The sequence below is a fragment of the Homo sapiens genome, chromosome 9 (genome assembly GCF_000001405.40).
Source record: "Homo sapiens chromosome 9, GRCh38.p14 Primary Assembly".
Classification (NCBI taxonomy): Eukaryota; Metazoa; Chordata; class Mammalia; order Primates; family Hominidae; genus Homo; species Homo sapiens.
In genome coordinates this window covers 134,388,537-134,410,079 of record NC_000009.12, presented here as the reverse complement: position 1 = coordinate 134,410,079, position 21,543 = coordinate 134,388,537, and the positions used below count along the sequence as shown (strand labels likewise).

The 21,543-nt window shown below is 62.0% G+C and overlaps 1 protein-coding gene across 3 annotated transcripts in view, besides 16 other annotated features; it reads right to left on the bottom strand.

The window, feature by feature from the left end:
* The window catches only part of RXRA (retinoid X receptor alpha), a 114,131-nt gene that overhangs the window by 30,506 nt on the left and 62,082 nt on the right, over positions 1-21,543 (bottom strand). For 2 of the 3 annotated variants that reach the window (NM_002957.6, NM_001291920.2), the window contains exons 2-4: positions 8,198-8,448; positions 1,781-1,931; positions 961-1,140 (exon numbers count right to left, since the gene is read on the bottom strand). In NM_002957.6, the coding sequence (NP_002948.1) occupies positions 961-1,140; positions 1,781-1,931; positions 8,198-8,448 (582 nt within the window). Of the gene's footprint in view, positions 1-960; positions 1,141-1,780; positions 1,932-2,587; positions 3,521-8,197; positions 8,449-21,543 lie in introns of those variants that run through there. The other variant, NM_001291921.2, reaches the window with a different exon arrangement.
* Positions 587-1,398: an enhancer, noted in NCBI's record as "H3K27ac-H3K4me1 hESC enhancer chr9:137300528-137301339 (GRCh37/hg19 assembly coordinates)". NCBI's record gives its function as "activates a minimal SCP1, AML or CMV promoter by ChIP-STARR-seq in naive and primed H9 embryonic stem cells {active_cell/tissue: H9 hESC(naive and primed)}" and the evidence as "EXISTENCE:reporter gene assay evidence [ECO:0000049][PMID:30033119]".
* Positions 1,399-2,211: an enhancer, noted in NCBI's record as "H3K27ac-H3K4me1 hESC enhancer chr9:137299715-137300527 (GRCh37/hg19 assembly coordinates)". NCBI's record gives its function as "activates a minimal SCP1, AML or CMV promoter by ChIP-STARR-seq in naive H9 embryonic stem cells {active_cell/tissue: H9 hESC(naive)}" and the evidence as "EXISTENCE:reporter gene assay evidence [ECO:0000049][PMID:30033119]".
* Positions 2,212-3,024: an enhancer, noted in NCBI's record as "H3K27ac-H3K4me1 hESC enhancer chr9:137298902-137299714 (GRCh37/hg19 assembly coordinates)". NCBI's record gives its function as "activates a minimal SCP1, AML or CMV promoter by ChIP-STARR-seq in naive and primed H9 embryonic stem cells {active_cell/tissue: H9 hESC(naive and primed)}" and the evidence as "EXISTENCE:reporter gene assay evidence [ECO:0000049][PMID:30033119]".
* Positions 2,212-3,295: a biological region, named in NCBI's record as "H3K27ac-H3K4me1 hESC enhancer GRCh37_chr9:137298902-137299714".
* Positions 2,826-3,295: an enhancer, noted in NCBI's record as "active region_29284". NCBI's record gives its function as "activates an Ori minimal core promoter by ATAC-STARR-seq in GM12878 lymphoblastoid cells {active_cell/tissue: GM12878}" and the evidence as "EXISTENCE:reporter gene assay evidence [ECO:0000049][PMID:35858748]".
* Positions 8,050-8,549: an enhancer, noted in NCBI's record as "H3K4me1 hESC enhancer chr9:137293377-137293876 (GRCh37/hg19 assembly coordinates)". NCBI's record gives its function as "activates a minimal SCP1, AML or CMV promoter by ChIP-STARR-seq in primed H9 embryonic stem cells {active_cell/tissue: H9 hESC(primed)}" and the evidence as "EXISTENCE:reporter gene assay evidence [ECO:0000049][PMID:30033119]".
* Positions 8,550-9,051: an enhancer, noted in NCBI's record as "H3K4me1 hESC enhancer chr9:137292875-137293376 (GRCh37/hg19 assembly coordinates)". NCBI's record gives its function as "activates a minimal SCP1, AML or CMV promoter by ChIP-STARR-seq in primed H9 embryonic stem cells {active_cell/tissue: H9 hESC(primed)}" and the evidence as "EXISTENCE:reporter gene assay evidence [ECO:0000049][PMID:30033119]".
* Positions 12,259-13,167: an enhancer, noted in NCBI's record as "H3K27ac-H3K4me1 hESC enhancer chr9:137288759-137289667 (GRCh37/hg19 assembly coordinates)". NCBI's record gives its function as "activates a minimal SCP1, AML or CMV promoter by ChIP-STARR-seq in naive H9 embryonic stem cells {active_cell/tissue: H9 hESC(naive)}" and the evidence as "EXISTENCE:reporter gene assay evidence [ECO:0000049][PMID:30033119]".
* Positions 13,545-13,724: an enhancer, noted in NCBI's record as "active region_29283". NCBI's record gives its function as "activates an Ori minimal core promoter by ATAC-STARR-seq in GM12878 lymphoblastoid cells {active_cell/tissue: GM12878}" and the evidence as "EXISTENCE:reporter gene assay evidence [ECO:0000049][PMID:35858748]".
* Positions 16,032-16,191: an enhancer, noted in NCBI's record as "active region_29282". NCBI's record gives its function as "activates an Ori minimal core promoter by ATAC-STARR-seq in GM12878 lymphoblastoid cells {active_cell/tissue: GM12878}" and the evidence as "EXISTENCE:reporter gene assay evidence [ECO:0000049][PMID:35858748]".
* Positions 16,803-17,097: a silencer, noted in NCBI's record as "tiled region #14205; K562 Repressive non-DNase unmatched - State 23:Low". NCBI's record gives its function as "represses a minimal TATA promoter and a strong SV40 promoter by Sharpr-MPRA in K562 cells {active_cell/tissue: K562}" and the evidence as "EXISTENCE:reporter gene assay evidence [ECO:0000049][PMID:27701403]".
* Positions 18,048-18,257: an enhancer, noted in NCBI's record as "active region_29281". NCBI's record gives its function as "activates an Ori minimal core promoter by ATAC-STARR-seq in GM12878 lymphoblastoid cells {active_cell/tissue: GM12878}" and the evidence as "EXISTENCE:reporter gene assay evidence [ECO:0000049][PMID:35858748]".
* Positions 18,298-18,787: an enhancer, noted in NCBI's record as "active region_29280". NCBI's record gives its function as "activates an Ori minimal core promoter by ATAC-STARR-seq in GM12878 lymphoblastoid cells {active_cell/tissue: GM12878}" and the evidence as "EXISTENCE:reporter gene assay evidence [ECO:0000049][PMID:35858748]".
* Positions 18,838-18,937: an enhancer, noted in NCBI's record as "active region_29279". NCBI's record gives its function as "activates an Ori minimal core promoter by ATAC-STARR-seq in GM12878 lymphoblastoid cells {active_cell/tissue: GM12878}" and the evidence as "EXISTENCE:reporter gene assay evidence [ECO:0000049][PMID:35858748]".
* Positions 19,318-19,407: an enhancer, noted in NCBI's record as "active region_29278". NCBI's record gives its function as "activates an Ori minimal core promoter by ATAC-STARR-seq in GM12878 lymphoblastoid cells {active_cell/tissue: GM12878}" and the evidence as "EXISTENCE:reporter gene assay evidence [ECO:0000049][PMID:35858748]".
* Positions 19,768-19,817: an enhancer, noted in NCBI's record as "active region_29277". NCBI's record gives its function as "activates an Ori minimal core promoter by ATAC-STARR-seq in GM12878 lymphoblastoid cells {active_cell/tissue: GM12878}" and the evidence as "EXISTENCE:reporter gene assay evidence [ECO:0000049][PMID:35858748]".

Sequence of the window (21,543 nt, the reverse complement as noted above, 5' to 3'; positions counted from 1 at the left end):
GAAATGAAACTGCAGCACCAAGGTGGCCACTCAGGACATCCCTGACGGTGAGACAGTGGTGTGGGTCCTGTTTGGGGACCCCACCAGGGGCTGGCGGGGAGGAAGTAAGACACACCAGCCACACAGGTGTTGGGCCTCAGGAGCAGCACAGCAGAGGACAGAGGAAGGGTGTCCTGCAGAGCGGGGGGACAGGGACAGACCAACAGATCTTCACCCCAGACAGCACCTCCCACCTCCACAAGGCCCAGGGCACGGGACCCGATGGGAGGAACTGAGGCACACCCCCAAACGTGTGTGCAAACCATGACCCAGGGACCCACTAAGAGGCCAGGAATCGCCAAACCTGAGAGGGAAAGGGGATGTGACAGATGGGGAAACTGAGGACTACAGCCAGCCAGGACTGGGAAGTCACAGTGCCTGTGGGGCCCGGGACTCCGACCCAGGTCTGGCTGGATGACTTGACAATTTTGGTGACATCGGGGGAGGGACTTCCCTGCAAACCGCCCCGACACAGATTTGTTAATAAGACGAGCACAAAAACAAAAGGAAAGGAGGAACTGCTCCAAGAGCCTGGGGGCCATCCGGCGGCCCTGCGGGGTGCCACAGAGTTGGCCTCGGGAGGAAGCTGGCCCGGGACCACCCCTGGCATCCAACAGCTCAGAAGATGCCCCCGCTCCACCTCTCCAACCTAAGCAGTGCCACCTGAGGGTCTCCTTGACCATCCCCTCACCGGACAGCCAACGCCAGCCAGAACATGCCGCCCAGGACCCATGTGTGCCCACGCTCTGGGCCGCACGTGTGCCCACGCGCTGGGCCCCGCCCCCACTCCTGCCTTGGCCTTGCCATGCTTCTGTCCAGGCCACTCACTCCCTGTTGTCCATCTCGGGTGTCCACGCACAAGCCCGGGCCCCACTGTTTGTCCAACACCTGCCCGCGCCCCCACCCGACGCCGTGGCCTACCTTCCCGCTTCATGCCCATGGCCAGGCACTTCTGGTAGCGGCAGTACTGGCACCGGTTCCGCTGCCGCTTGTCAATCAGGCAGTCCTTGTTGTCGCGGCAGGTGTAGGTCAGGTCCTTGCGCACCGTCCGCTTGAAGAAGCCCTTGCACCCCTCGCAGCTGTACACTCCATAGTGCTTGCCTGCGGGACAGGGCAGAGCAGGGCTGGGGAGCACCCACCGCCCCGGCAGGGAGCCCACCCCCCATCCAACGCCGCCACTACCAGCTGGCGGGCCAGGCCTCAGAAAGGGACCTGCTGGTCTCCAGACCCCTGCCTGGGCTCAGACTGGGCCCCAGCCTCACTCTCTCTGCTCCTCCGAGGACAGCTTAGGAGTGGGGCAGGGACAAATCCCAGCCCACCAGGGACCAGGGCCCCAGGCAAGTCACCTGCTCTGTGTCTGCACTGTGCAGCCCGTTCTTCCCTCTCAGGCCGTTGGGGGTCAGTGGCACAACACGGGCCCCTTGCCCAGACCCAGCCAAGGGAGGAGGCGCAGCACTGGCTGCCCCCATGCTGACCTTGCCATCAGCAGCCACCTCCTCTCCGGAAGCCTCAGGCTGCCCTGTGCCCCACCCCACCCAACACTCACTGTCCCACAGACGTGAGAACCCTGGAATGGCCTCGCGGAGCCCTGGGAGTGGGGCATGGCCCAGGCACCTGCCTCCCTGCACCCTGGCCTTGGGTCCTGCTTGGCCCACAGGAGGGTGATTTGGGGAGGCCTCCAGACCCTGCAATGGCCTGACAACCCTGTCCCACCAGCCCCTGGCCCCCACAGCAGCGGTACCTGAGGAGCGGTCCCCGCAGATGGCGCAGATGTGCTTGGTGAAGGAAGCCATGTTTCCTGAGGGGTGGGCGGGGACCTTGAGGACGCCATTGAGGCCCAGGGGGGGCTTGATGTCCTCGCTGCTGCTGACGGGGTTCATAGGTGAGCTGAGCTGGGGGGGGCAACCACAGCAGTCAGCGGGGTGTACACCAGGTTTGTCCCTATGTCCCCCACGGCCCTGCAGCAAGGATGGCGCAGCTGTACCCCCAACTTCACACACAGACACCGAGGCTAGAGAGGGCCGTGCCCCCCACCCGCCACGCTGCTCCGGAGCAGCGGGGCCACTGTGCTTGCTCAGCAAGGCCAGCAGAGGCTGTGGCAACCTCAGGACTCGCCCGCAGCAGACCCCAGGCCTCTGTGGAAAAGGACCTTCAACACCCCCCCCAACACATGGGCGGTCCCTGCTTGCAACCCCCTGCCCGCTGCCCACCTAAATGAGAGCTGCCTCTCATTACTGAGCCCCTGGCAGTGCCCAGCCCCGCTGGGTGCCCCCGGACACTCCATGAGGCAGGCACTCTGGGGGGTCCCAACCCACACATGAGGACGCCGAAGCCCAGTTCCCAGGACGGAGGAGGGCTGGGGACCCCCCCAAGAACCACACATACACCCCACAACACCGCAGGGCAGGGGCCCTGGTCACGTGACCCAGGAGAGGGGAGTGGACACCCCCGGGCATCGGGTGGCACGACACCACTGGCCTCTCTGCACACCCCTCCGCCCCACCCGCCGGCCCGCACGCTGCCGCCCGGGCAAGCGTGGGAAACTCACCCGGTCACCCTGGCAACAGCTGCAGCGTGCAGTGACACAGCAGTTTTGGTTCCGCTGCCTCCACCCAGCTCTGCAGTCAGCGCCGAGGACCCACAGGCGCTTCCCGCTGCAGCCTGCCAGCCAGCCTGGCTGCGCAGGGCGGTAAGCGCTTGGCCAGGCAGCCCCCAGCCTCCACTTCTGCAAACCCCTGCCGCCGCTTGTGCGCAGGAAGCTCCCCTCCTTCCTTCCTCAGGCCTCCAAATCCCATCCCCCCTTCTCACGGGACAGGAAGAGTTTGAGGCTCAATGCAAGCAAAGCAGAAACCACCGCAAAGCCTCCTTTCACATGGACCTCGGTGCCTGGAATGAGTCTTCCAGCCCCAGCTTGTTCTGGCTTCTAGGTTCTTCCTCGATCTGCCCAGGTGGGCTGTGAGGCTTTACAAGGATGCTTGGTCCCTGCAGGACTCAGGTGGGCTGCGAGAGGCCAGGAGGTCCCCCGTGACAACTCAGCACAGTGGGGGTGCCATGAAGCTCCCACTGGAGAAGCGGGTGGCCACTGTGTGACTCACCAAATGCCCAGTGTTCATGTCCACAGGCAGCAGGTGCGCTTCTCAGAGAAGGGAGGGAACTGAAGGGGCAAGAGAAAGCCCCAGACGTCTGCAGAGGGGTGCGGTGCCTGGGCTTTGCACCCACACTTGACACTCCCTGCATGGGAAACCCTGGGTGTCCCAGATGCAGAGGCTGCGGCTCAGGGAGGTCAGGGGCTGGCCAAGGTCACACATGATCCCCCACGCTGCAGAAGGCGAAAGTGAAGCCCCTGGAGGGACAGAGCTCGTCCAAACTAAGTGCCCAGCTGGCCCTGCCCCGTGCTGGGCTCCGGGAGGCACCAGGGGACAAGGCCCTGCCCAGCCCTCCAGGGCTCGCTGGTCTAGTGGCTGTCTCGCTTGGAGGCACTGGAGGCCCCAGAGGCGGATCCCTGGCTCCGGATTCTGCCTGCCTCCTACGTTCTCGTGTGACATTCGGAAAATGATTTAATCACTGTGAGCCTGAGTTTCCTCGTCGGCAAAACTGGAACCATGTTAGTGCCTACTTCTTTTCTCTTTTTTTTTTTTTTTTTTTTCCGAAACAGGGTCTCACTCTGTTGCCCAGGCTGGAGGACAGTGGCACAATCACAGTCACTGCAGCCTCAAACTTCCAGGCCCAATTGATCCTCCTGCTTCAGCCTCCTGAGTAGCTGGGATTACAAGTCCATGCCACTGCACTCAGCTATTTTTTTTTTTTCTAGTGGTGGGGTCTCAACTATGTTGCCCAGGCTTGTCTCCAACTCCTAGGCTCAAGCAATCCTCCCGCCTCGGCCTCCCAAAGTGCTGGGATTACAGGCGTTGAGCCACCATGCCCAGCCAGTGCCTCTAAGAGCTGATTAAGTGTAACTGAGTCGCTCCATGTGCCAGGGCTCAGAGCAGAGCTCGCAGACAACTCACTGTCTTACAGGGAGGCCGGTGGCTGCAGTGAGCACTCAAGCTTCCTGGAGGAGATGGGCCAGGGCCTGGGAGGAAGAAAGGGGTGTCCCAGGCACAGGGGCCCCCAAGCCAGTGTTCAGAGGTGGGGAAGCAAAGGGCTTGTTTGAAAAAAGGAAAGAAGTAGGTACAGCCAGGGCGGGGATCAGGTCAGAGCAGGGGCAGCAAAGGCATCCACAAGCAGGAAGTGTCGGGCACCCTCGCTTTGTGCCCTAGCACTGGGGAGGCACCGAGGCGTGTGAGCAGGAGCCCCTTGGGCCAGAGGCTGGAGGAGCACAGGCCATGACTCTGCAGGTCCAGGTTGCTCGGAAGCACAAAGGAAAGGAACTCACGCACTTCCTCTTTCTAGGCTGTCCCAAACCACCTCGGGTGGGTAGGGATCCACCTGCTGCCTCCCGGCCCTCCATGTGCAGTCCCTTGGGCCTAGCACCTGCCCTGGGTAAACTGAGGGAGCACCAGAGCAGCCCTGGCCGGGAAAGGGACTCCAGGCAGGACAGAATGGCAGACGGTCCCCCTCCCTCTCAGTGTCAGGGCCAAGCCAGCTCCCGCGCTGAACTTAGCCTGCATCCCTGGCTCCCCCAGACCTCAGTGATATCAGAGGGTCTGGCTAGCCCAGTGAGCCCAGGGCCCGGTGAGCCTCTGCACATCTGAGAAGAGTGGAGCCCGGGCTGAGGTGCCCATCCAGGCTGCAGGCCCTGGGGCCACCCACCTTGCTTCTTTGGGCTCACCTGGAGGACGGTCCAGGCTACAGAAGCAAGGCTGTGCCAGGATGGGGAGGCCAGGCGGGCGTTCTTCCGCCCTTCCAGCCCCAGGCTGCTGGGCCTCGGGTTGGCTCACAGCCCCCGGAGCACAGCACAGGGCCGCCCCGGGGGTCTGCCTTGGTCTGTCCCTCCCCCAGTGGGCTCCACAGCCCCCCAGCTATCCAGGGTCTCCTCCCACACTCCCTGCTCCCGCTCCCAGGAGAGCCAGGCTGCCATTGTTGCTTCGCTGGAGCCTCAGGACTCCACGCGTGGCCAGGGTGGGGGCCATCGCATTTCCCCTTTCAGATCCTTGGCACTTATTTCAGTTCCCGCCGCCTCGATGCCCCACCCAGGTCTCCTGCCCGTCTCTTGGCTCTCTCCTCACACCCACCACACCCTTCCTTCCTGAGCCCCTGAAGGGTCTCTCCACCAGCCCCGACTTGGGAAAGGCCCACTCTGCGCCAGGAGCAGGCCCCTGGACCTTGCTGGACCTCATCTGTCCATCGAGGCAGGAGCAAACCAGCTCCTCTGCACACTCCCCTCCGACCTCAGTCCCTGGCGGGTAGGCGCCTGTGCTGCCCTGCTTCCGACCCCGTGAAGCCCGCTCAGCCTCGCGTCCACACTCCCTGTGCACACATCACAGCCCCACAGGCCCTGGGCAGGCCCTCCCACCAGGAGGCTTTGCTAGAGCTCAGAGGCCTTGACACCAAGTCCAGCTCCATGCCGGGCACTCAGAAGTGCTGTGTGGAAGCTGGCACCAACTCACTCCACCAATACCTGCAACGCGCCCAGGTGAGCCGGCTGCAGCCAGGAAGGCTCTGGGACACTGTGGGGAATGTCCCCCGGGCCTGCTCTGGGAGTACAGCCTGCAGACCAGGGAAGAGATTTGGGACAGCTCAGGGGCCAGGCAGCTGCGGTCTGGCCTGGGTCTACCCAAGCCCCCCCAGACTCCTATTCCCCCACCAGGAGGGGCGAGTGGCCTGGACGCCGCCACATGGAAGGCCCTTCCTGGCCATGGACTTGAGAAGGCAGAAGGCAGCATTTGGCAGAGTGCCTGGCCCTCCCCAACAGCAGCAGAAGTCAGAGAATCTCTCTGGCTCCAGCGACTCTGACTTTGCGGTTGTGGTTTTGGGGCTAGGAGTGGGGGCACATCCCTCCTGAAACCCTGCTCACACTCCCATGAATGTGAGGAACCCCAGGGTTCCAAGACAAACTGCTGAGGCCTCAAAGCTGGACTCAACCCCCAGGGAAGGAGCTATGGGTTCTGGGGAACCAGGGCCAAGTCAAGCATGGGCCTCAGACCACGGCAAACTAACTGCGGGTGAGACCCACAGCCCAACGGCAGACCGACGCCAACAGCGGCCGGGCAGGGAACGTCTGGGGCAACCCGCGTCTGCTCCTCACCCACACCCACCCCGGGGACCTCGCCAATGTCAAGGGGACCTGCACCACTCACTCCCAAGCAACTTGGCTTCAACAAGTCCCTACTTTGTGCCAGGAGCCTGGCTGCACAGGAAGCAACAGAGAATGGCCCAGAAGCAGCCCTGAAAAGCCTCCTCCCCTAGTGCTGCCCATCCCCTCCCCGAGAAGAGCTCAACAGTGCGGAGGACACCAGGCATCCCTGAGGATTCTGGGAGCACCACTGCCACCCGCAGGGGGTAACCTACTGTGCACTAGACCCCTGGGTGTCCAGGACAGGCGGCAGACCTGGGAGGACCCAGCAAGGGGCATCCTGGGGCCCTGGGACCCAGCAGGTGCCAGCCAGTCAGCCAAGGGACAGGCGGAAGCCGAGTCTTCATCGCCCTCTCGCCACAGGGCACCATGCTGCCAACAAGAGCAGGGGCAGGGCTGGTGTGCTAAAAATAACATGACCAGGCCTCCCTCGTGCCAGCACCTTGGGCCTGCTGCCTGCTTTCGGAAGGCCAGGTGATATGAGGGGGACACGGAGCAGAGGCCCCAGTTCTTCTGCACACATCCCCCAAAGCAGAGGGGCTTTGATGGGGTTGGCCCAGAAAGCCAGCAAGATTCTCCAGGGAAAAGGAGCTCGGGAGGTCAAGGCCAGCTCTAAACAGGGCCAGGTGGATGGGCAGCAGGCCGGCTCCAGACCCCAACTACAGCCCAGTCCTAGGTCAGGAGCAGTCCTGGACTACCCGGGAGATGGCATGGGGGCTTGGGACTAGGTGTCCACCTGCTGCCTCCTGGCCCCCTCACATGCAATCCCTTGGGCCTAGTGCCTGCCCTAGGTAAACTGAGGCAGGGCAGCAGGGGGTTTGGGAGTCCACAGGACACATCTGGTGCTGTCAGCTGTGTGTGGGCAGAGGAGCTCCTAGGGCGAGTCCCACCCGGGTGGGCTGTCCTGAGATGGCACCAAAACTCTGCCATGGAGCCTTCAGCTACTAGGAACACAGGGTGAAACCCAAACACAGAAATTCAGAGCGGAAGGAGCACCCCTGCTCATGTGAGGAGCCCCTGGAGAGGGAGGGCCTAGTGGGAGTCTGGGAGGTTCCGGCCGGCCAGGTGGAAATCCACAAGCAACCACCGGGAGCCAGGGGACGAGGCCCAGCCTCGCCCTCCACCCTCACAGACCGGACACCCCAGGGCTGGGAACAACTCCACAAGAGACACTACTCGGGGTGTCTTCTCCAAGGAAGAAGGGGAGCACGGACCAGGTCCCCAAGTTCTCCATGACAAGACCTGGACTGCGCCAGGCTCTGCCAGGCACCAGCCCTTCCTGATCCAGAAACAGCCCAAAGGGCCAGGCTGAGCTGGAGAAGCGACTGAGCAAACCTCAACTGTGGAAAAGGTCCCCACGCCCCACAGACGGCCAGGCGCCCACAGAGCCGTGGGGGAGCCGAGACCACAGAGCACCGCTGCCACACCTGGCCACTGCAGGTCCCAGGGCCGGCATCCCTGAGAGGGGACGCAGCTGCCCTGAGCCCGAACACGCCTTCCCTGGGGGCCCTTTGGCCTGGGTGTAAGCAGAGACTTCAGGGGAGGACCCAGGCTGTGTGGGCACAAGCTTTTGGGGAAGCAGGCTTAGGCCTGAGGGAGGCCACAGCCTCTCTCTGCTGAGTCCCCCAGTCATGGGAACAGGGAGTCCCGAGCCCTCCGGCATGGGAAGGGGCCACGTGGGCAGATAACCAGCTGCAAGTCACCTCGGCTGATGATCCAAAGGCCCAGGCTCAGCAGTCAGCCCCACCTGGGCTCAAACCCCCACGGCACTCTGCTCCCCGAGGCTCTGTATACTCTGCGTCAAGCGGGGAGACCACAGCACCTACCTCCCAGAGGCCTCAAGATGAGGCGGTCGTCCTGCAGTTGAAGCCACAGCCCCACCCCAGGCCCCACCCCCTCCCCTTGCCCCAGCCCCGCACTCACCTGGGGGCTGCCAGTGCTGAAGCCCAGGGTGGGTGTGGTGGGCACCGACATGGAGTGGGGGCCCATGGGGGAGCTGATGACCGAGAAAGGCGGGCCCATGCCGTTGATGGGGGAGCTCAGGGTGCTGATGGGAGAATGCAGCTGTCCCGGGGAGCCGATGCCAGGCCCCAGGGACGGGTGCAGCGAGGGGGCAGCCATGGAGCCTCGCCCCGTCGGGGAGGTGAGGGAGGAGTTCACCTGGGTGGAGAAATCTGCAAGACAAGAAGCCGCAGGAGAGTGGTCAGTGCAGGTGACTCCAGGCCCCACCAAATGCCTGCTCCCCCCAGCTACAGATGCACGCACCTGCGGGAAGACCCCGGCACCCTCAAGGTGGCCCCGTGGGTCTCGACAGCTCTCTGACGCAAATTCACACTCACTACGGGCCAGGTGTGCCCAGAGCTCCCCTCCAAGGTACTGTTCTGCGCCTGACCCCGGCTTTAGGCTGGGCCTGCGGCAGACGCAGGAAGAACCCGCTGTGAATGAGCCCCAGGATGCCCGCCTGGGTCGCTCCAACCCTCAGCACTCCAGGCCCGTCCACCTGGGAAAGCAGTGGGAGGAGTGGCTGGTGGCCGGGACTAGTCAGCCCCTCTGCCCATCTCCACAGGGACTCAAGGTGAAGGTCTGGGAATAATCATGAAAGGCAGAAAGGCTGATGTCGCCGAGCACCTGCCGTGTACCAGGACCTGGTCAGTTCTGAGCGTGGGTAAATTCGTGGATTTGGGAGGTCAGCAGTGAGCACCATGATTCTCCCATTTTACAGATGCGGGAAGCCAGGCCCTGAGTACTCAGAGCCACCTGTGGCCAAGCCAGGACTGGCGGCGCCTGCTGACCCACTCCCATGTCTGTGGCCCTAACCAGCAGGCCACACTGCCTGGACCTGCTCAGGTGCCACAGCAGTGGTCGCCCGGGCACCGGACGCTCAGGCCCCTAGCTCCATGCTCTGAGGTCTGTTTGAGGGGACCAGATGGGTGGAATGGGGCACCTCTCACGTGGGCGGTGGGCTGGACGCTGCTGGGTGGCTTTGTGCAAGGCCTTGGTGTGTGCCAGGAACAAGAGGGCAGCCCATAGGGCCGCAGGAGAGGCTGGGACCTCCCACACTCCCGCCTTTGAAATCAGAGATTTCAAAGCCCCAACCACACTTCAGGAGGTGCCCCCCTGCCCCGCACCCTGGAGGCTGGCACTGCAGAAGGGAGGCTCCCAGGTGGCGAATCCACTGCCCATGGGCCTGAGCAGACCACTGGGAAATGTCGGAGCCCACCCAAGGCAGCACAGACGGCAGCAAGTGCCGGGAGCTGGAGGCACTGCCTGCCTGCCCCCACCCTATCTCCGACGGGCTGGGCACACGGGGCAAGCCACTCTCCCTCTCTGGGCCTCAGCCTTCCCATCTGCAGAATGGCTCTCAGGCCCTCCGTGCCTTGACCTGTGGCAATCACAGGCACTTCTGGGGAGTCGAGCAGGACCATGAACACATAGAGTGGCTATGACTGAGCCCACATGCCCCAGGTCAGGGGACACCCCTGGCTCCACCCCTCCCCAGCCCCAGGAAGACTTCACCTCCCCAAGCCTCAGAGCAGCTGTGTCCAGGGCACTGGCTCACTCGCTGGGTGCCAGGCTAGAGCGGGAGGAAGCCCTGGGCCAGGCCTCTCATGGGCATCTGCCTCCTGTGCACCCTGCATCTCAGGAAGACATGGCATGAGCTTTAGGATGCCACCACCACTCGGCAGCGTGGAAACTCGGGCCACTCCTGACCCCATCCAAAGCCAGCACTCTTCTTACCTCACACAGCTCTGCTGCCCCCAGCACCTGGCCAAGGCCAGCTCAGAGGCAGCAGGAACACAGAGGTTCTGCCACCCTGTGCCCACCTCTGCTCAGGAGCATTTGCCCATTCTTGTCCAGCAGCCTCAGGCCTGCTCCACACACCCCCTCTTGCTTCCTCTCCCAGGGAGGAAGGTGCAGAAAGGAGGCCTGGAAGCCAGCACTGCCCTGATTCAGCCAGCACTGCTCAGATTCAGCCAGCACTGCAGGGGCCTGGCTGCCACTAGTGCCCCATCGCAGTCGGGGTACAGACCCCACCAGCAAATGAGCCTTGTCTGACCCACTGGAAACCTTCATCATTCACAATATTGGGAATAAGCCATTTCATTGAACTAAAAATGCAGACTTAAGGAATTCCAGAACCAGATGTTGGTGGCACCTACTGGCTAAGACAGGTACTGCAAACCAGCCCTATTGGTCATTCAACTCCTGGGAGGAGGACAGGCAGGACCCACATGTAGATATCAAACACATGCAGCCCAGAGGTCTCCACATCCAGAATCCCCAGGTGCAGAAGGCCAGGGAGAGAACAGCTAGGAGCTGACAAGACAAAGCAGGCAAAAGAGTGTGTCCAAGACAGACAAACACAAAATCAGGCTGCTCACGAGTCTATGAAATACCTGCATAACCTGATGTTACTGATTCCTGCAACTCTTGGAGAAGCTACCACCACCAGCCTGTGACAGACAGGGAAACTGAGGCATAGAGAAGGTGTGTGATGAGAACTGCCCCAAAGGCACACTCCCAGAAACCTGCAGCTGCCCCTAGGCCAGGCAACCATGCCCACCAGGGCACTGCGGGGACCCTGGGAATGCCACATGGCTGCCTCATCACAGCCCCACCTCACCCACCTTCAGCTGACCCCTGCCGGAGGAAACCTGAGCCAGCTTCTTCCTTTACCAAGCCTCAGTTTCCTCATCTGTGAAATGCAGACAGGCACGCGTACTCAGCAGCAAGTTCTGCTCAGCCCCAAATCCACACAGACTGAGCCTGGACCAGGGCTGGGCCCTCCTTATCCAAGCCAATCCAGGGAAACACTGTGCTGACTTCAAGGCAGAAGGGACAAGAAAGCATGACTGTGCACAAATTGGCTTTGCAGCCATCTCCACCAGGTAGCCCTGGGAGCACCTGGGAGGAGGCCGGGCCATGCAGGGAGCCCAAACCTCAGCACTGCATTCAGAAGCCGGGCCTTGGAATGGCCTGATCTGAGGCCCTAGGCACCCCTGGGAAGGCCGCCCACCTTTCTTCCTGGCCTCTGGGAAGAAGATGGGAATTTTAAGGCCATGGGAGAAGACACTCCTGGATTCTTTCAGCTTCTCCACCCACCCCCTGCTCCAGATGTAATCTGGGAAGACTGGGGAGTCAGGGGGACACTGAGTTGGAGGAGGGGACTGGAGGGTTTCTGGGACAGCCTTCCAGGGCACCTCAGGAGCTGAATTATTTAAGCCAGCTGCCCCTGGGCCCTGCTCCCAGCCCTTCCTGTTTACACAGACTCCGTCCATAGCAGACACCTTCCCAGAGCCTGGGTGACAATAGGCTGGGTGTGTTTTCTGGAATCCTCTAGAGAGAGATGCTTTTTGGCCAGGAAGAGGACATTAAAAAAGAAGAGGCAAAAAATGCCTCGACATCCTCTACTCACAGCAAAGGGCCCCGTGTGTGGGCTCTGTCTCTTCCAGGTCATTTATCCGTCCCCACCCCTGATTAAGTGGTGGCTACCATAGGCGTTATTCTTAAAACATCCTACTTTGGGGCCGGGCAGGGTGGCTCACACCTGTAATCCCACAACTTTGGGAGGCTGAGGTGGGTGGATCACCTGAGGTCAGGAATTCAAGACCAGCCTGGCCAACATGGCAAAACCCCATCTCTACCAAAAATACAAAAATTAGCTGGGCATGGTGGTGCACGCCTGTAATTCCAGCTACTTGGGAGGCTGAGACAGGAGAATCGCTTGAACCTGGGAGGCGGAGGTTGCAGTAAGCAGAGATCGCGCCATCGCACTCCAGCCTGGGTGACAAAAGCGAAACTCTGCCTCAAAAAAAAAATAAAAAATAAAAAAATCCTACTTTGGACTTGCAGGGGCACTTGTTACCAGCTGGTCTTCACTGACTTCCGTGGCCCTCCAGGTTCACCCCCAAACCACAGGGACAGCCTCAGACACTCAGACCCAACCCGGGAGCCAGCAGACACACAGCCCTCCCCACACAAGGGAGCGGCAGAGGGGCCTGAGTGGCAAAACTGAATGGCGGGATCTGGGAACCTCAGAACCTGAGCCATACAGGGCCCCACAATCCCAGACCCTCACACCCCTTACACCCACCGTGCCCACTTAGGGACCACAGGCAATCAGTGTGACTCCGAACCCCAGGCGAGGAGGAGCTCAGGAAGAACTCAGGGACCTCCAGGGCTAAACGGAAGAGCAGAAAGCAGGCCCTGATCCCGGCAGGGGCAGTGCCCAGTAGCCCCAAGGCGCCTCTCACAGCTACTAGATTTCTATCCAGGAAGACTGCACAGAAGAAGTGGTGGAGTGATCACTCCCTTGGCACAAAACTGACTCTAAAGTGCAGATACCTGGAGGCCGGGAGCAAAAGCCTTGTACCAGAGATGAATGCCCCGGAATGCCAGCACCCAGGGCAGGCACAGAGCAGCTCCCTGGGCCCCCAGATGGCAGATCCTGAGTGTCGGGGGCTAAGCGGCAGGTTTAGTAACATTGAAGTAAGGAATGTTCTTGTCCTGACTGCTGCCCAGTGACGGCACAGGCTGCTCCGCGAGACGGTGAATTGCCACCCCAGGTGTATGCAGGCACCACTCAGGACCCCAGGGACACTCACACCCCAGAGGGTCTGCTGGAAGAGGGAAGGGACACCCTGTTGACCAAAGTTCCTGAGCTGCACAGTTCCCTCCAGAACGCTCACCAGTGCCAGGATGCTTCTGCTCCCTGGACCCCAGAGCAGGAAGCCTGGGGAACCCCCACCAACTCCCTTCCGGCCTCTGCCTGGCAGGCGGGGGAGGCAGAGAAGGTGGCAGGAAATGCCAGTCTGACTGTGGTGGGGGCGGGGGTGAGCCCTCAGGACTCCAGCCCCCTCCTGGGCAGCCAGGGAACCTCCGGCCCTTGGAGAGGGGAACTCAAAATCCCCACATCCCTTTGGAATCTGCAGGGCCAATCGCGGCAGGGTCTGAGCAGGCCACAGGCTGGGGCCGAGTGATCAGGTCACCTGTCTAGATGAAAAACAGAGGACACCCGGACCATCCAATCTGGCGCCCCAGGAAGCCCAGCGGAGGGAAGGACGGCGTTCTAAATGGGGGAGCTTGGGGTAGGGTCCCGTGGGCTCCACGGTGGGGAATCCAGGATGGTGCAAAGGAAAGGCAGGGTGCCCGGGAGGAGGGAGGAGCTCGGCCTGCGATGAGGAAGCCCACTGGGTAAACCAGCACCCAGATGAGAGCTGGTCCTGAGCCTGCCTGCTCCCGGTCCCTGCAACGTCCCTGCAACCCTATGCCACCTGCCTGGGGACCCCCCCGCCCGGAACTGAAACCCCGTTGCAAGCAGCTAGCAGGCCCTCAGAGCTTCCTGGATCACCCACCTCCAGCCCCCACCTCCGGAAGTACTGCTTCCCCTGGCCTCCCAGGGGAGGGAGAAGGGCAGCGCTGGCGGGGACAGGGATGAGGACGTGGCAGGGACCACGGCGCGTCAAGGTTTGGGGGAAGCTGAAGGTGGTTAGTGTAGGAGGAAGAGGAAGGAAGTGGCCACAAGCCCCAGAGGGTGAGGGGCCCTGAGGAACTAGGGTGGGGCGGGCAGCCATGCCCAACCCAGGAGATGCCGGCCATGGTGAGAATGGGCTTCTGCTCACCCTTGGGCCCACAAGACCCACCACTCCCTGACGGAGAGACCCTAGGCAACCCCTTAGCCTAGATGAGCCTCAGTCTCCCCTTCTGTAAAATGGGCATGCCAACAGCAGAGGTTGTTGAAGATGGGCCCTACGGGCCCTCGGCGGGGTGGGCTCTCCGTACCTGCTGCACATCTGTTTCCCGCCTCCCCGCAGGGGCAGGCAAAGACTCGGGCCTGTCACCTCCAGCCCCAGGAGCATGGCCCGCTAGCGGCCTCCAGGCCAAGTGTCAGCTTACAGCTCAGGTGGCCCAGGCTGGAATTTCAGCTCTTCTGAGGTTACCCTGCCCTTTCCCCAACCAACACCCTGGCCCTAAATCTCAGCCCCATCTGAGGACAGGCCAGATTGGCCCTCCTGAATAGTTAGGAGAGACCCAGGCCTGCCTCCACAGGAGCCTGAGGGCCCCAAAGCAGGGTCGGATGATGGAGCTCCCTGAAGGCAATGCCAAGGGGCCCCATGGGGAGGTCCAGCCCCCCACCTCGGCCAGGCCTATGAAGTCACCCACCTGCGGGAACATGGACACTCAGGCCCCTGCTCTGAGCCAGGGGTGCCCCAGAACCACCCAGACTCTGGAGGAGAAAGGAGGATGGGGCCTGGCACACCAAGGTGTCCATCTCCTTCACTGCAGCCCGCAACTGCTCACAAAACCCCCAGGAAGTGGCCCTAAGGACTGCCGGCCCCACACAGAGCCCTGACCAGCCTGCTCCCTAGCCCTGCCCTACCCAACCTTCCGTGACACATGCAGAGATGCCCCAAGGGCCCAGTGAGACGGGCCCTTCCATGATCAGCCCCCCATGGCCGGCCAGTGGGCCAGGAGGGAAAGGGTGAGAAGGAAGCAGCGGTGGACACAGGAAGCCACGGTGAGGCCAGGCGGGACTCCGCCAAGGGAGGGACAGAAATCTGGGTCTGCACCAGACACAACGCCACAGTCCTGCCAGCCCCATGGACATGTGGGAGTTCGGAGTGACCGGGGTTGCAGAGCCAGCACAGACAGGCTCCTGCCAGGACTGAGAGGGGACTGATGCTTCCCTGAGAGCCCACGGTGTCCCAGCCTCAGGACAGAGCCCAGCCAGGCCAGGTCGGTCAGGCTCTGGACTCCTGTCCGGCCTCTGCCTCTGTGAGTTTGGTCCCCCAGGTTCCACGTGACCAAGAGACCCTCAAGGACTCTGAATGCCAAACCCACTTTTATTATCACCACCCCTGCACAAATGCAGAGAAAGCAGGGTCTTGACTCCCTATCCGCTCACCCAGGAGGAGCCAAACACTGGCCTCTCCCTCCTTGAGCTCCATGGGGCCCCCTGACATTGCCTCTCACACCTCTGCCCTCCCAGCCCAAGAGGCCCCCATGGTGGGGACCTTGTCCAGTTTCCCCAGTGCAAGATCAGGGGCTGGCACAAGGGGAGACTGGGAGACGCAGGGTAGTGAGGGGGCGTGATGTCAAGATGAGGGGACCAGGGGTGCTGCCTGAGGCCTCTGGCCCCTGAGGCACGTAGCGTGCAAGTGCAGCTGGCCAGGCAGCTCAGTCCGCAGGGGATCCAAAGGCAGGGGTAGATCTGCAACCCAGACCTATGAGACCCTGCCCGGGCCTCCCCCAGAGACCTCCGCGAGCTGCCAGGGCATGAGAATGAGGAAGAGTGACCCACACACCTTGACCTTCTCCAAGCCTCAGTCAGGAGACACCAACCAAACACCCTTCAGTCTTGACTGACCTCAAACTCCCAGGGCACAGGCAGTGGCCCTTCATGGAGACAGGCTCCATCAACACCCAAAGGGCCTCGGCAGGAAAACCACTCTTGATTATAAAACTCAGCTTAAAGCAATGTCTGTGAAGGCATCCAGCGAGCGTGCAATGACACATCTGCACTGTCACTGCCATCAACATCACCGTCATCATCACCACCGTCATCACCACCACCATCACTATGATCACCATCACTCACCATTAACATCACACATCATCAGTCATCATCACCACCATGATCACCACCATCACCAACATCATCAACACCATCATTACATCATCATCACCACCACCACCACCGTCACCATCACTACCAGCTGAGCAACCCCTTGCCCTGCTCCACTGTGCAGATGGCAGGCTGAAGCCTAGACAGAGAGGTTGACAAGTTTTGTCATAAATAGCAAGGGGATGGTGTTTTGGGTCCTCTTGGCCATACTGAGCAAGTTGAGGACTGGCCAGCGGCAGAAGGAAGAATAGGAAGTGGTGCCGAGGCTGATGGCCACCCTTGCACAGCCCACTCATACAGCCCAGGGGCGCTGGGGTTAGACCCAGTGGTGGCAGGTACAGCTGCAGCCCAGCCACAGTGAGGGAAGTGGGAAGCACACACAGGAGGAAGAGGGTGCTCAGGAGGGGGCTCCCCATGAGCAGTCAGTGCCTGCACCCAGGAAGCATTCAAGACAGAGCTGAGAGGTGAAGACACTCACTAACTGGGGCATGAGGGCTAGGGTTTTTGCAGGAACCCCACCCTGTCATGCCTACTCCCCTGAGAAGCCCACCATGGGAGCTGCGGCCACAGGCCTCACACCAGGCCCAGCTACATTCAACCAGATATGCACGCACCACCTTCCCCGAGTCTTGCAGCCGTTGCTATGATCACCCACCACGCTGGCAGGGCTGCCAGATGCCCATGGCGGCCACTGTCCAGGGATGCCCCAGGCGCTAAGGGGCACACTTAACCTGGGACCAGGCTGCCTGAACCACCATGGTTCAGAAGAGGAAACAGCCCCAGAGCAGCATCCACTCCCAAATTCTTCACAGCTTAGAGGCAGATGTGGACAGGAGGGGCACACCTGGGCCAGGCAGCTGGGAGGTGCAGGCCAAACTCTTGACAGACCCCTGGTCCTCTGTGACCCAGCCTCCTGGTTGTGTCATGCCCCCTTCACCACCCTGTGTGTGCCCCAGTGCTACAGGGAGAAGAGCGCCCAGGTCGCTCATGGCTTTAGGCTGACGGCAGAGCCGGCTGCACCCCTCCCTGCCCAGCTCGCCCTGCACTTGGTCCGATGCCCCAGACGCTGGCTCAGGAAATGTCAATTCCCTACTGTCATTTCCCGCTTCCCCATGATTCCCGGGTTTCCCAGGGCAGGATGGGTTTTTTTTTTTTAAGAAGAAGCCAAGTAACCACCTGCAGAACTGGCCCCTAACAGGGACGAGCAGGCAGGGTCTGTCCCTAGAGGGCTGAGGGGCTGGCAATGACCGGCCAGTGACTGTGGGACTCGGAGCCCCATCCCAGAGTGCCTGCCCAGGGACGGGTTCCCAACGCAGCCGCTACTCCTCCACTCCCACGACTGGCACAAACCTCAAGGGACGCCCATCCCCAAGGTGCAACCCGCACGGCCAAAATGAAGTCCTGAACCCAGGGGCCAGGACCAGGGACCGCAAATCTGAGGCTGGCCCTTTTAGGAGAGCTACAGGGCATCTGATTTTACCAGGAAGCACCCACATCCCCCAGCCTAAAGATGGCTAGGGTAAGCGAGAATTCAGGTAGCCTCATGGACGGAGTCACCCACCCATCCCAGGGACCCAGAAGTCAGGAGGGCTTGGCCCAGCCAGCGCCAAGGAGGAAGCCAGAGGAGAGCCGTGATGGAAATCGCGCAGCTCTGGGGCCAGGCCTGTCCAGCCACGCTCGCTCCACTGGTTCCCAAAAAGGAGCTCCTGCCATGGGGGTACAGGGAGGAGGTGGGCTCAGGGCCACCCACCTAGAAAGATGCCAAGGGGCCCCGGAGAGTCCTGAGAGCTGCTTTCCAGCCACAAGGCCGGAGACACTCGGTAAGCTGACCTGTGCCCCTGTACGGCCATTCCCCCCGGGGCATCGTGAGCAGACCACCCATCTGCTGCCTGGGGCAGAGGCTAGGAGGGTGGGAGGGCGGGAGTCAAGCCCCAGTCCTGGCAGAGTCCCCGTGGAAAGAAGCGGAGTCACGGAAAGGGCGTGACCAAAGGCGTGGGGCCACCAGGAAGCTGGGAGCCCCAATCGCCTGCATGTGACGTCCTTCCCACCCTCCCCCTCTGCAAAATGGAGGCTCTGACACCGGGGCTTGCCCTGCACACTGCACCAAGCCAGGTGACTGTCACGGCCCCCTGCAAACACACAGACTCCATCATGTGGTAGAAGAGCTGCCGTAGGCCGCAGCTACCACAGCTCAAACACCTAACTGCAGGTGCACGCCAGGCCAACATTTCATTACATGAGCTCACAGAAGTGTGGTGACAAGGGGGAGCCGCTCCTCCTGCCCCCGTCCTGCAGGGGAGGAACCAGGGCTCAAGGAGGCGAGATGTTTCCAAGCCCGGAACAAGAGCTGCCGGGTCAACGCCTGGAGGCCTGGCTTTCTGAAGCCTCGGTCCACCCCTTGGCCACCCCTCGACCACCAGGGTGGCCAGACACAGCAGACACCCATGAGCCCTGAGAGTTCCAGCAATGACGCCCACCTTGGAGGACGGGTACCAGCTCGGGGACTTGGCAGAATGCTCACCTCTCCAGGGCCAGGCAGGGGCTCCTGGGCAGCGCAGCCTCCCTTCCAGGCCGTACCCCTGAACTGTGTCTAGCACCACCACAGGGCCAGACCTTCGAGGAGGGTGAGTGGGAAGCAGGGGAATTCCTGGAGAAACCCCGCCTGCCCCACAGCCCGCCTGTGTGGCGAGGGGGCCCCCAGCCTGTGGGCTCCTGGGGGTAGTTTCCCTTCAACAGGAAAAGAAATGATTCTTGTTTCATTTTGAGCCATGTTGCTCTCGGTGGCTCAGAGGCCCTGCCACCGCTGCCAGCAGCTCTGTCGTGGAACGGCCAGGCTTTCCACCCTCAGGGCGGCTCTCGTCTCCACCTTCATGTGCACGGCCACCTGGCTCAGGAACACCCCTGCAGTTCCTCAGGTCCCACCTGTGGTGGAGCGTGGCCAGCTCCATGCCAGAGGCCAACACGATGGTTCAGTCGGGGACTCTGAAATGATCAGGGCAGAGGATGCTCCCCCAGGCATGTCCTGGGGCCTGGCATGGGGCCGGCCTCTCTGGGGGACATCCCCAGTCTTCCCACGGCCCGCTGAGCAGCACCATTTGCAGATGGGGGCACCGGTGCTTAGAATAGGCAGGGCATGGCCACCGGGGCCACGCGGTGGACAGAGTCCAGGCAGGGAACCCCTGAAGGACAGAGCACCTGCTCAGCACCCAAGGCTGGCAGTGGGGACCCTCTCCAGCTGGTGCCGGCTTTCCAAGAATCCCCTCCACACCCGTGCCATAAGCCCAGGCCCACCCTAGCACGCAGCATCCTTCCCACAGAAGAGGCTTACCACCCACGCACCTGAGCCGGATGCCTGTCATGTGCAGGGGCCTGACTGGCGGGGCATCTGCAGACGGGGGACAGGGCCTCACCCATGAGACAGACCAAGAACGGGACGTCAGCCCGCTGAGCAGGACTTCCCCCATCACAACCCCAACATGGGCGCCCTCCCTGCCTCTGCCACTCCCAGGGCTGCGGCGGAGCTCAACGACACCAGCCCAGAGGCTCAACTGCACCCAGAGTTGCCTCTTCCGAGCTCAGCCTCAGCACGTCCCTCCTGCCCCGCAGAAACTTGCTGAGGGCCCGGGTCAGGCTCATCACCACTCTGAGCGAGACAAACCACCCCGTGGCCACAGGCGCCACAGGCCCCACAGGCTGAGCCTCAGAAACCTCCCTCCTGGCTGCCGTGCCTGCTGTGTAGGGCCTGGCCCCCCACCCACTGTCCCAGACTGGGGGCTTTGGACTTTGGGAGTGTAATGGGGAGCCCTGGGAACTTCTGGCAGCGACAGAGTGGACCTCCCGCCAAGTGACCCGTGGAAGGGACGGCAATGGAGAGGAGGGTGTGCTGAGCTGGCTTTAGCCTGGCCTGGGCTAGGTCTGAACTTGGCCACTTCTAGGGGCACCCGGGCCCCTACCCACTGTGTGTCAGACTCCCCCTCCCCTTCCCTTAAGCCCAGGGATTGGGGAGCGGACTCCACCCTGCACCAAGGAGATGCCGACCCAGGAGGCCGAGAGAAAAATCCTGCCGGGGAATGCAGGCAAGCGCAGGCTCCGGCCTGCTGCCCCCAGGACGGCCACCCCCATCCTCATCAAGGCTCTGACCCAAGGCCTCGCTGTGTCCCCTCCCAATCCCACCAATCGGCACATATCAGGGTACTGTGGCAGCAGGAGGGGACGAGCCGCTGGCCTGCAGATGCGAGGGTGAACAGGTGGCAGGCAGCTTCTCTGCTCCTCGGTGCCCAGCCCCAAGAACCTGAGACGGGGCTGCAGCTAGCACGCACGGTAACTCCCAGCCTAGCCGGCAGCCCCCAGGGGCCTCGGAAGGAAGGGGAGGGATGGAGAGGCCAGCTGCAGCTATGGAGTCTCTGTCCAGACTCTGGGTGACCCCATCCACAGAGTGCCTCCCGCAGGAACGTCTGCCAGCCCCCTCTGTACAGGCAGAGCCAGACATGGCCAAGTCCAGACCTTGCCCAGGCCAGGCTAAGGCCAGCTCAGCACACCCTCTCCACCACTGTCCCCTCCACTGGTCACTTGGCAGAATGTCCACTCTGTCACCATCAGAACTTCCCAGGGCTCCCTATTACACCCCCAAAATCCAAAGCCCCAGGCCTAGGATAGAGATGCCCAAGCCCTGGCCCCGCTAGCCCTCTGGGGCTAGCCCTCTGCTGTCCCAGGGCTCCCCATTATACCCCCAAAGTCCAAAGCCCCCAGCCCGGGACAGAGGCGCCCAAGCCCTGGCCCCCTAACCCCCTGGGGCCAGGCCTCTGCTGTCCCTGTCCAGCACCCTTCCCAGCCTGCTTGGCCTCACCAACGTCCACTTCTCTGGATCCCACGAGCAACCCCCCGGGGGTGACCAAAGCCAGCGCCCACGTGTGCAGGGAACCCAGCAAAACTGCATTTCCACCATTCTCTCCCCTCCTGACAAATCCGGGAAAACGGGTTCCGTGAAATGGCAACAACGTGCAGTCTGTGCCATCCAGAGGGGCAGGGGACGGGAGCGAGCTGAGGGCGTCCACGACAGGACCGGCCAGGTGGCGGATGTGACTCTCCGAGGAGGACCCAGGAGACCAAACCCCTCCTTGGAGGACCAGAGCTTGGCAGGGAGGTGAGTGGACACAGGCCTGAGGCCACCCTGGAGGAGGCAGGTCACCGGGTCTCAGCCCTCTGGGGCATCCAGCACGAAGGAGAGGAGCCAGAAATGTGTCTTCCAGGGCTTCTGACCCACACCCAGTCCGTCAAGCAGCAGCCCCCACCAAGCAGGGAGGGGGCTCTGTCCCTCCAGAGAACTCACAGCCTCCAGACACCTGGAGACCCTCAGCATCTGCCCCAGGGCACCCGGCTGTCACCTGGCTCACAAGGAGGAGGAGGCAGAGGAAGGACATCGAAGGATGACTCCCCTCCCCATCCAGGTGCAGGAAGACCAGGGAAAGGGGCCGGGAGAGCCCGATGCGCCCAGAATGGCGGCCACCAACTCCACAAGCTAAAACTTCCATGCGCCTGACTCACAGGAGAGGCTCCTGCTCAGGGTCTTTGACTCAGCTTCACACACAACACTAACCTGATGCCTCAGATGACTCCCCAGAGGACAAGCAGTCAGACAGAGGTA